The sequence below is a fragment of the Homo sapiens genome, chromosome 15 (assembly GCF_000001405.40).
Source record: "Homo sapiens chromosome 15, GRCh38.p14 Primary Assembly".
NCBI lineage: Eukaryota > Metazoa > Chordata > Mammalia > Primates > Hominidae > Homo > Homo sapiens.
Window position 1 is genome coordinate 94,220,157 of NC_000015.10, and position 12,194 is coordinate 94,232,350.

At 39.6% G+C, this 12,194-nt stretch overlaps 1 protein-coding gene across 25 annotated transcripts in view, besides 2 other annotated features; it reads left to right on the forward strand.

Annotated features, from left to right (window-relative positions):
* Positions 9,660-9,799: an enhancer, noted in NCBI's record as "active region_10134". NCBI's record gives its function as "activates an Ori minimal core promoter by ATAC-STARR-seq in GM12878 lymphoblastoid cells {active_cell/tissue: GM12878}" and the evidence as "EXISTENCE:reporter gene assay evidence [ECO:0000049][PMID:35858748]".
* MCTP2 (multiple C2 and transmembrane domain containing 2) overlaps positions 11,210-12,194 on the forward strand; it is a 252,587-nt gene continuing 251,602 nt past the window's right edge. For 19 of the 25 annotated variants that reach the window (NR_169530.1, NR_169529.1, NR_169527.1 and 16 more), the window contains exon 1: positions 11,405-11,508. The gene's annotated coding sequence lies outside the window, so the exon portion shown is untranslated. Of the gene's footprint in view, positions 11,300-11,404; positions 11,850-12,194 lie in introns of those variants that run through there. The other 6 variants (XM_047432839.1, XM_047432840.1, XM_011521774.3 and 3 more) reach the window with 2 other exon arrangements.
* Positions 11,335-11,464: a silencer, noted in NCBI's record as "silent region_6851". NCBI's record gives its function as "represses an Ori minimal core promoter by ATAC-STARR-seq in GM12878 lymphoblastoid cells {active_cell/tissue: GM12878}" and the evidence as "EXISTENCE:reporter gene assay evidence [ECO:0000049][PMID:35858748]".

The window sequence follows — 12,194 nt, forward strand, 5'->3', positions numbered from 1 at the left end:
TTTGTGTGAATATGTGTGTATGGAGGGGAATTGCCAGGGTAACGGATTTAAAGTAACTTTGGGGGGTGAAGATAATGTCCTGTATCTTGATACTATAAGTACATTATTTCATCAAAACAGTGACTTTACACTGACGATCATGCGAATGTATATAACATTTACACTGAAAGAAAAATACTGAACTGTAGTTAATACTACACATGCAGTGTGTATGTGTGTATAATAATGTCTGCAGTTTACTTTTCAATCTTTCAAAATTAAACAGATTGGCCGATGGATAGAGGGCTAGATGGTTGAATAGGCATGCAACAAAATGTGTAGTAGAATCTAGGTGGTGGATATACAGGTTTGCATGGTAAGTCTTCCATGTTTGCTGTATGTTTGAGATTTTCTTCATAATAAAATGCTGAAAAAACCTCAATAATGGAGACAAGGGTTACTTACATGCATGAACTTTATCATCATCATCACCATTATAATCACTACCACATCCACCAGTTAAATTTCTTGAGAATCTGACTTGGCTTAGACATACTCAAAATATGTATTATCCTCACACTAATCCTTTGATGTAGACACTCTTTCCAAGTCACATATAAGGGATGTTAAACTGCTTAAGGTCATCCTCAGTGAATAAGTAGCTTGAGCACATACACTATACGAAGTAGGTTCTGTTAGTTTATTTACTTGTTATTGCTTAAGTTCTCAACATGACCCATTGTTGGCCAAAAAGCAAACAAAGCCTAGTATAAGTTTCTAGACACTCAAATTTTTAACACTGTTGTTCAGATGATAGAATACATTAGGTAAGTAGAAAAAGAAATGATCAGCCAAAGCTTAAACAGTGATTCCATTAAAATATATAGATAAATTAGGAAAGAGAGCTAATTTGAAATGGAAATTTACATGGCTGATTTTGTTTATGCTGCAGGTGGTTCTAGAAGTGATAAGGTCCTATTATATAATAGGAGACACTGAGCTGGATTTGGAATGAACAGGAACACGGTCAGTCAAAGACAACTTGCAGGTAAGGAAGTTACTCCTCTGAGCATAGTAATAGAGAACCTGCCACTTTTGAGAAACCCTTTGATGCTGTTGTTGTACTTTTTTCCACTTACAAATGAAAGATGCGTAAGAGTGCTTTGGATCATGAGCTATGTCTTTGATTATTTGCCAGTTACCTTGAAAGATAAAGTTGCTCAGTGACTTTATGCTTGGTAGCCTCATTTCCAAATTACTTCAGGTTATATTAATCTAGAATGCAATGAGATCTTGTCCAAGTGTTTTAAGGAAAAATCAGTTCATCCTTGGCATATTTCAAAGAGAATGAGGAGCAGTGTCTTGACAGAGAATTTTTGCTTGGTATCATTGAGACCAGGAAATCTGCCTGGTTGATATTTAAAAAACTGGTCAATATTGAGAGTGGTGATCCCTGTGTGCAGTCTTGAGTTATTACTTCTTTTGCAAAGATACTATTTAGCATTGAGGAAAAGATTTATAAAATTTAGGTGCTAGATCTATAAAGGCTTACTCTTAATGGAAGTATGGAAGTAGACAGTTTCCCATAATAAAACTGCATAGGCTTTCTAAGATGCTGCTGCTTTGCTTTTGGCTGGAATTGGATCAACACAGACGTTATAGCCATCAGACCCCTGACTGAGTATTTGTGGCATTATAAGAATTTTGGGGCTGGACCAACTTATCTGAGCTGCCAGTAAGATATTCAAGGTAACCAAATTGAAAATAATAATAGTAATACAGTAAATTTCTTGAATAAAATACAAAGAATCTTTGATTTGGTCTAATCTCTTCAGGAAATTGCCTGGAAAATGCCACTATAATTTTCTGAAGAGCCAAGTTATGAACTCAGATATTCTGACTCCTAGTACCTGTCTCTGTCAGCTATAAAAAGTTTAGTCAAGTCTCTTCTCTCACGAAGAATAAATGTCATACAGGTCTCTGGGAGGCTAAATGTTTGAAATTGAGCCAAATGTCTATAGGATTAGACTTCAGCTACTGACCATGATGGACTAAAAGGGGCTGAATTTGTCTTCCTACATTTAACAACAACAACAACCAACCCAAACATATAAAACAATAGCATTTTCAGGTATTAAACAACAGACAATGCAGTACTGTGAAGTTTAAGAATAGGGAAATAAATGAAATGAGTCCTACAGTATCTTCAGCTGACTGTAAAGTTTCCAGGGCACGGCTCAGGAATAGGAACATCCAGAAAATCCTGGTGGCTTTTCTGAGTTGAGGAGAGATTAGAAAGGCCAACGTGGCCATCATTTGTGGGAGAGAGTATAGAGAGGAAACATCTGCCGCCCTCCCCAGAGAGACAGAAAGAGCTCTATCAACAAAGAATTTCTCTCAATGTTTAGCTTAATACCAACTAGCTAATGTATTTCAGGTAACCACCCGAAAGAAGCAGGTGGAACAATCCTTGAGGTTCATACAGGGCTAAGAATAGTTCAAGTTCCCATAAGGCAGTAAGGAAAGAGCTAACACATGCAGTAGAATCCTCAAAAGTTATAACCTGGACTAAAGATTGTTCTGGATCCACCCAACCAAGTTTAAAAACAAGTCTCAAGAAAATCAAATTATTTCCAAGTAACTTACCTACATTCAAGAAAAAAAAATCCCCCTAATATTTAAAGAAATAATATTTCTAAAAAATTTTACATCTAATAAAATTCACATTGTATGACACTTAATCAAAATTTACTAGGCATGTAGAGAAGAAAAAGACCCATTACAAGTAGGAAAAAAATCAATCTAAAGAAACCCAGAAATAAAAATAAAACTGATAATAGAATTAGTAGACAAAGAGGATAAAACAGTATTATCAATGTATTCTCTACTTTCAGCAGAGGAAAATATAAACATAAGAAGGAGAAAAATAAAAGCTATAAAGCTATATAAAAGATACAAGTAAAAATCCTAAAAAGGAAAAATACAAGGTCTGAGATGAAAAATGTATTGGATTAGCAGAGATAAGGCATTACAGAAAAAAAATTAATCAACTTGAACACATAGAAACTATCCAAAAATGAAACACACAGAGAAAAGAAGCTTGAGGAAAAGAAAAAAAATGAACAAAGTATTATTGAACAGTAGGGCAATGTCAAATGGCCTAACCTATCTGTAACAGGCACCCAAAAATAGAAAAAGCAGGGTGAGGTGGGGACATAAAAATTTTGAAGAAATAATGGCTAAAACATTTTTCATCAAATTTTGAAAACTATAAACACATAGATTCGAGAAACTCAACAAACTCTAAACAGTTTTTTTTTATCAGACATTTATTACATATCTGTTGTGCTAATTAGGTGTCATTGGCGGTTTCTAAATTGGCCCCCATTGATTGCATCCTCCTGATGTTCACGCCCTTATGCAGTTCCCTTTCACTGCATTTTTGATGAACTTATTGATTTATATCTAGTGAATAAAATACAGCAGAAGTTATAGGACGTCATTTCCAAGATTATGTTATAAAATGATGGTAGCTTACATCTTGGTCTCTCTCTCTTGCAATTTCTCTCTCTTTCATTACTCGTTGCCATAATATGAGGACACATAACATGAGGCCACCTATGTAGAGGTCCATTTGTCAAGGAACTGAGTGAGTTCTACCAACAACCATATGAGTGAGATTTGAAGCTGACACTCTGGACCCAGGTGCCATTGAGATGATTGCAGCCCTGGTGGACAACTTGACTGTGACCTCATGGGAGGTCCCTGAGTCAGAAGCACCCATCTAAGCCAGAGCTGTCCCACCAAAACTCAGATAATAAATGCTTGTTGATTTAAACAGCTAAGTTTTGGGGTTATTTGTTTCACAACACTAGATAACTAATATGTTGACAAGTGTGTGAAATCAGAAAGCTTGCATTCTGCCTAGACTGTCTAGCAGAGTATTCCAGAAATATTTGTGAAACAAATGTTCGAAAGATAAGACAGATATTCCAAATAAGTATTCTATAAAGACAGAAGCAGTTGTTCTTGAGTGAAGCATTTTAAAACTGGTAATATTGCTATGGGGATTCTTTTTTTATTTTTTTTTATTTTTTTGAGATGGAGTCTTGCTCTGTCGCCCAGGCTGGAGTGCAGTGGCATGATCTCGGCTCACTGCAACCTCTGTTTCCTGGGTTCAGGCAATTCTCTGGCTCAGCCTCCTGAGTAGCTGGGGTTACAGGCGCCCACCAACACGCTAGGCTAATTTTTGTATTTTTAGTAGAGATGGGGTTTCACCATCTCGGCCAGGTTGGTCTTGAACTCCTGACCTTATGATCCACCTGCCTCGGTGTCCCAAAATGCTGGGATTACAGGTGTGAGCCACCACATCTGGCCACTATGGGGATTACTGAGAGAGAGAGAGATCTTTTCTGGTTGAGGAATGAGGGGATTCTTTCTGGAGGAGACAGTAATTTATGCGGGCTTTGGAGGAGATAGAATTTGGACACATGTTACTGACAATTAATCTAGCCGGATACTTGAAAATGAAAGAATAAATGGGGTGATAGGAAAGGTGGTAAATCAAAGGCTATGTATAGGAAGCCATGAGCAGAAGGCAAGGTGAGAAAAGAACAAAGACATTAATGGGGAATAAAAAGCATATTTTCTGCAGATATAATTGCAAATTTTATTTTGAGAGCTCATGTTAGGTAGATGGTACATATTAAAACAAAACACTAATTCTTGCAAATAACTCTTTTTAATGTTATACTCTTCTTAATAACAATAGGCATATGCATTCACCTGAGTTGCACTTATAGGAATGAGCTAAAGAGTTTTTATATTTTCTCAGAGAATAATATAGTGGGATAAGGTACAATGGTAGTTCATTAAGCAGAGTATTGCTGTATTTCAAAAAACTGCAGTGACAGCCACACCTTGAGGAAAGTGTGATTCCAAAGAAAAAAATCAATTTTCTTGTCTGACTTACATTACAACTATAGATAGTACAAACTTTGATTATATTGGGCTCATTATCATCATTACTTATATAATCAGACCGTTCTTTTTGACTTGTCTACCTTATTTATCTTCACACTTTCTGGTCTTCTTGTCCTGATGGTCCATAGTAGTTTTGTCTTGCCAATTTAAATTCCAGCTTGCTTCCCCCCACTGTTCATTGATCACTTGATTTTCCATTTTTAATTTCCACCCTTCTGACTTCCAGTCACACTTTTCATGGTGCTGCTAATTCTGCCTTTTATTCGCCTGCCATGTTTCATCATTAAGTGACCATGGAAGTTTCTATCTTGCAGAGGACACGAGCCTCCCTGAGCACATCTTGCTAAAATGTGCACTTTAGAACTACCTAGAACATGGGCAGCCAGCAGGATAATGTGTCCACATGCATTTTAAATGTGGATCTCTGAGCCTACTCCTTGTTACTTTACTTCCAGCTCTCAAAGAAATATTGCTTAACAAAATTGTATTTCAGTGATGTACTAAAATACGAATAATATGTTCAGGTGCAACAATATGATGTTGGGATTTGGTTGGTTCTCAAGAGAAGTGATTGGTTTTCATTGCTGGAGAAGATAGTCTTTCAGAAACGAGGCATTACAGACACAAAACTTAACAGAGACCCAGAATAGTTTAATCTGCTGTATGAACACATAGCCAGGATTCTGTTCATAGTTTTGTGGATTCCTTGAGCATATTTTGCCAATGAATGTGTATGAAAGCAGTACACATAGTTTGAAATATAAAGCCAGGGTTTTCAGATGAGAGGTGCTGGAATAGAACTACATTTTGCAAAGTAATGAAGTAGGGCTCACTTTCACCAAAAACCATCAGGGATAAGGAGGCAGGTCACAGCCCACACTGAAGGTGGATGCAAAGGTCACTGTAGAAAGTTCTAAACTACAACTGAGAAGATGTCTGATATTAACAAATGAAGCTACTCCTTTCCCTTTAAAATATCTAAAATATATTTTTGTGCTGACTGAATTAGGTTTTCCTTATTCTTCTCCATTTTAAAGTCAGCTGAATAGAAGTTCAACCTAATCAAAGTTTACTTTTTAAAAGAACAAGCCCTTTAGAGAATGTGTAATTTTTCATTATAGTTGGGTATTTCTCAGTAGGAAAAATGAAAAACTTTAGCACATACTGGAAATTAAGAAATTAAGAAATTAACTTAGTCTTAAGGTCAGATTACTTACTGTCTTATTTTCTACTTTGGATTTTTTCAGGAAGTGGCAACAATTGTCACTACAAAGACGTGCCTAAAAAAAAATCAGTAAAGCAGGCAGGTGCCTACCAGGTTGGTTTGCAAATGTCCTTATGCACTTAATAAGACCTTGTCTATTTCCTGACTACTTTTCAATCCATTAATTAGTGATGTTGTACTTTCTTTGTAGGTTATCATTAGAGGCAGTAATGGGAGACTGGATGAATGAAAACTTATGCAAATTATACATCCCAACCAGTCACAAAGACAGACTGGAGACGTCAAGTCCAAAATTTGTTAATGTCCTCAGCCATAGACATAGTTATTATTTCTCCACATTTGTCTATATTTTGATTTTCTGATTAAGATTATGGAAATACTGCTAGATGGCTGGCTTCATTTATTGAACTGATCTTTGTCTGCCAGTTGAGTCTGTACTTATCTCAATTGTGTAAGCCAGGTTTCACCCATGAAGACTCCCTTTTTTCATCACTTGGGACTGACTGGGGTCCCGGTTTCTGCTGATTCTCTGGTGTATTTTCTACCTGGTTTTTTACACCACTTGCTGGGCTCTGCAGGTGCTACTATCAAGGCCTCTTCACTCTGACACTCTATTGTGTTTATCTGTTTACACATCTAGCGAAAATGTGAGCCATTGGAGGGCAGAAGCTATCATATTTGTGTTATATCCACAGAGTTTATCACAGAGCTTAATATATGGATCAGGGGATTCAAACTGGTTGCCAGGCTTTCGGCCACCTGTATTTTTTAGCCAGCACAGGGTTAACAATAAGTAAATTTGAATGTCTTTAGGTGGGCCTACTCTCTGCTATTTGCCACAGTCTCTATCTTCTTATATGTGACCACAGTCAATCTCTATTTCACCAGTCTCACCCATGTAGGCACCCTAGTTTGTGGTCCTGGTTGTAGATGATGAATACATGCTAATTATGTGAATGAATACATCAATGAATGTACTTCTTATTTTGCATGGAGAATTGATTGTTATCTAAATATTCTTGTCCTGAAAATTCCCCTAGTTTCATCTCTCATTTTGGAAAATACAGGTAGAAAAACAGATAACTGTAATGTGCAATGCACAAATAAGCATTTCTGAATACTTGCCAGAGGTGAGCCACTCTGTGCATTCTAGTGGCTCAATTAGAGAGGAAAACAAATTCAACTGTGTTATTTGCAGAACCCATAAGATGCAAACAAACCATTTGTTGTGGAAAAGCTCAAGATTTTTGTATCTGAGATGAGTGATAACTTCTACCTTGGATCATCTTAAAACAGGCAGTGTAATTTTAAAAAACAATGACCCCGACCAACATGCCAAATGTATGTTCAACAACGTATTTCCCAAGGTAGATTCTTAAGATACCCCCCACTATTGCCAATGACAACACACTAGAGAACAATTCAATAAATGTGATTTGGGGCCACAGAAATTCTCTACAGTATGAACCTCTCCCCTGGCCTAGGGGAAGTTTTAAGCAATTAACTGAATGAAATTCAGATCGTCAGACAAAAATGTTGGTACTGAGATAGTAATCTTGGGCAAAGTTAACCTTCATCTGAAGAAGTAAATTTGGTTCTTCTTTACCCATCTAATGAATGGCAGACTCAGTCTCTTAAGAGTTAACTCCAAGCCTCTAATAATTTTAACTTTTCAGAAGCAACCACTACCAGATGTTCATTTTGGCCATAAAAGTTCCCACCCAATAAAGGTACAACATCCATAAAAGTCGATCTTTGAACAACTTACTACCTGTGAACATTTCCAGCTAATCAGCTTGTGTTAAATACATGTTTAGGTATTTGAAAGAAAAGAACTTGATACATAGAATCATCATTAGGACAATTCAATGCTGATGTTGATTTCCAAAGAGATTTTATAAGAAGTCTTTCTGAATAATTAGAGAATAGGACTCATTTTCTGTTAGGTCCATTCTTTTGTTCAAGAAAGTGAAGCCTACAGGATAAACTCGTAACTAGTAAGTGGCAGAGCTAGGTCTGGAGTGAGTCACTAAATTTGGTCTCTCCACACCTGCCTATAAAAAGGGGATAACATGATAATTATACCAAAGGAAAAAAAATCCTGAGTACATATAATAACAAAGACTATTTGCACTAACAATAAAAGAAGTACCATTTCTCAACGCCACGTAACAGAGTGCATATTCTTCCTTAAAGCACACACTAAAATAAACATTTGTTACTTGGACAATAGACTGAAGTTTGCTTTAACCATTATATTCGTTTTAACCCCTGGTAGATCTAAATTGACATGTTTATGTCTCAGTCATTTTTCTACTTCTGCTCTTATCGGCCCAGAAATGATGAGAAGCACCAACGAAGGAAAATGTGAGGGAAGCTAGGTGCCAAGCCCTTACATTACTGCTAGCAGATCTCAGACAGCTTTCTCTTTGACATAAAGGGACTTGTCCCAGCAAGATTAGCTCTGTGTCCTCCAAATGGAGCCAGACTGTGTTGACTGCATGGCCAACTCTGATAGGATGACCCAAGGAGGCTCCCACTGAGCAGAGAAGATATGGAACTCTAGATCCTATGCATTTACAGACAGGGTCTTGTCTTCTTTAGAGAAGACTGCTTTAACCCTCATTGTCAAAGACTCTGGGTGGCTACAGCAATTTTCATTTGTTTCATTTGAAATACTCTGGCTCATTCAAAAAGGCACAGGGACGTGGCTAGATAACTGCACTAATTGTTATCTAGCCTTTGTATGCACTTAACCGTGCTTCTGCATGTATGACAGGCAGTATAGCCATGATAGCCAAGGAGTACACTGGGCCTTCAGAAGACACATCTTCCATTTACAATTTAAAAGAAGAGGTGCCAATATTAGATTGTCATGCAACCAAACATACATTGTCTAAGATATAAAAGCAATTGTATCTGAAAGTGGGAAATCTCCACCTCAATTATCACATTGACAATAGGGGCATTTCTTCAGAGGCCAAATATCTGGTTGCTCAGAAGAGAGAGAAAGCTGCCTATGATACGTGCAGGAGATTTTATTTTTTTTTAAGTATAATTATGACATCACTGACCAGTGCCTATAATGTAAGACCTGGTTCAAAATCTGTTTAGAGAAATTCAATATAACAAAAGTGTGTTAAAAATTTATCAGCTACATGTATGAGTCCAGTTGCCATTCTAAATGCTGGTGTGGTTATGTAGTAAAGTTAAATTGGTATAAGCAACAATATTATTCCCTGGAAGGGACATTTCCTGGGTGGAACATAGAAAAGGAGACAGGTAATATGTTTGAACAATTAAAAACAAAAAACCCAGGAAGCTGGGCAGATGAGTGTATTGTGGTGGGAAGGGCAAGTTGTGACCTTAGATTTCTGTATCTTTAGTTGTTTCACTTTCTATACCATTTAATGATTGAAAAATGCGGTTGGACTGCCGGAACCACAGAACAGGAACTCCACTGGGGCAGGAGTTAAAGGCAAAAAAGCTTTTGTGTGGGTTCACTTACTATTTTAATTCATTTGTATTCTTAGTCAGCTTTAAAGGTATGATTGCTTCGTCTGCCTACTGCTCTTTCTCTTCTTCCTTTCATGCTGTTTTACCCTTACCTCTCTCTGTTCTCTGCTAGGGGATGTAACCTTCGGCACGGTGGGAAAAGCCAATTTTGCCATAGGCCTCAGCTTGCTCTGACTCGGCTACTAACTTGACTCATAGCTTCAGGCAGGTTATTTCATGGTTCTGATGCTCATTTTCCTCATCTTGAATCAGAGATTTTATTAACTGTCTCCTGGTTTGTGAAAATTCAATATGATCACGTGTTACATGCCAATCACAGAAACTGGTGCGAAGTTGTGTTCCTCAGTGGTAGCTATTGTTGTAAGTCGGAATTGCATGACAGTGGCAGCTGTTTTCTATCACGTCCTCATGTTTTCTAAATTTTTATGCCCCTTCCTCCCATTTCCTACCTTAGTATTGTTAATAGCTAACTTTTATTAAGTGGTTACCATGGCCCAGGACACTGTAATGAGGATTTTATGTGAATTACCTAATTAATTTCTCAGAAAGTATGAGATAGCTATTATTTTAAGCTATTTAAGCTATTTTAAGCTATTTAAACAACCAGTTTGTTGAAGTTAAAATTTAGAGAGGTTAAGTGAACTCGTCCATTTACACAATTAGTTGCCCAGGCAGAATTTGATTTGAGGTCTGACTCCAAAGCCGGAGCTCTTAATCACCAGTGACACCAACTAAACGCTTCATTTCAGAGCTCGCCTATTCCCAGAGGTCCCATTCCCGTTTTAAGGTTATTTTCTGTAACTCTCTTGTATCTAATTTAAAAATGCTATTTCCCAGAGATGAGTCCCTGATCTCCCAGAAGGCATGGATCATACATTTCTTTTCCTAATCCACCCAAATTCCTAGAGCGCACAGACTTAGGCTCGTTCATAGACGGGAAAAGAAACTGACCAGGCAGTGAAACCGAGCAAACAAAGTGCAATAAGACAATTACAGCAGGAAAGCGGCGTAAAAAAAAGTAGAAAAAGAAAGTAAGGGAAAGGGGAAATAAATAGCAAATATTCGCTGAGTGCCAACAATCGCACGGGAGGGTCTTTAGGGTTCTCTGCCGAGTACTCGGGACGGCTTGCTGAGCAGTACGCCGGCCTTATCTCATAGATGAGGCACCAAGGCTCAGGAAACAGTTCTGTGGATCTGGGCGGGCATCTTCCACCCACAGTCGCGCACACGTGGCATAGGTTAATAGGCTGTCTGGCTCGGGTACCTCTTCCCAGGGTCAGGGCGTTACAAAGGGAGGCTGCTGTCTTCCCATGAATCTATTAGGGACCTACAGGAGCGAAGAGAACCCTTCTGAGTATCAGCGAAGACAGCTTATTAAGACTTTACGAGTTTGCAAGCCATCCTCGTCCTATTTCCTCACTTCGGACTTTTTGGACACACCTTCCTTTTCCTGTGAGCCAACCCAAACGAATGAGTTACAAGTAATCGCCTTCTCTACGCCCAGCCAGTGCCCAGCACCAAGCATAGCGCCTCCTTGCAACACCCGGCCGAGCTCCCGGCGGCAGCGCGGGCGCTTGGGTCGGAGGCTGCTCAAAGGTGACGCGCGGCCGCCTCCTCCCCTTTAGGCGGGGCTCGCAAGGGCGGTGGGGGGGCCCGAGGAAGTCCGGGGGCCCTCGGTGATGCCCCCGCCCCCGCCGCGTCAGGGTTGCTCCCTGCGCTTCCGAGTGGCGACTGCAGCGGGTCCGGTGCAGGTGAGGGGCGCGCGCCTGCCCAGCTTTGCAGCCCCCGAACGCGGCCTCGCACAGGTGAGGGCGGTGCCGGGTTCACCTGGCAGCGCGCGTGGGCCGGGCAGCACGGTCGCCGCCTGGGGGTGGGCGTCTTCTCTCAACCGAAGCTGGGAGTTGGGGAGCTGGAGGGTCCAGGATGAGAATTCAGTGGCGCTACTACCCCGGAGCTGCTTGTGGTTCAGAGATCAGAAAGGTGTCCTGAGGACTGGAGGCAGAAATCCAGGCGTGGCGTACTGGAAGGCGCACTAGGGGAGGGCAGCCTGGCCCAGAATTTCTTTGCATTTTAAAGGCCACACATTCAGTCTCCCCGGGGCGCTACGGAGGTAGTCACCGCCACATCCAGGACTCCTTCCACAGAGGTCAGTTCCTCAGCTGGGTGGGCTTTAATACGCTCTCTTCGTAGAGACCCGGAGGTTCAACTTTAATTCTTTGCGCTGACATTTGCTCAACGACACCGGAGCAGAAATCCTTGGGATAATTGCGTAGGTAACAAACAGTGTCTCAATCCCACTGAAGATAAGTAAGTTAAAAATAAAGACAGTGATGTTGGTGGTGAACTTGAGTGGCGATTAGTTTCCGCAATTAGTTCCCTCCTGCACTGTCCATTTGTTAAGCAAATGTGCTGACGGCTTTTTTTAAATGATTGGGTTGCCATAAAAGAGGTTTTCTCTAGTCTGAATGAACTTCTGTGCGATGCTGACTGA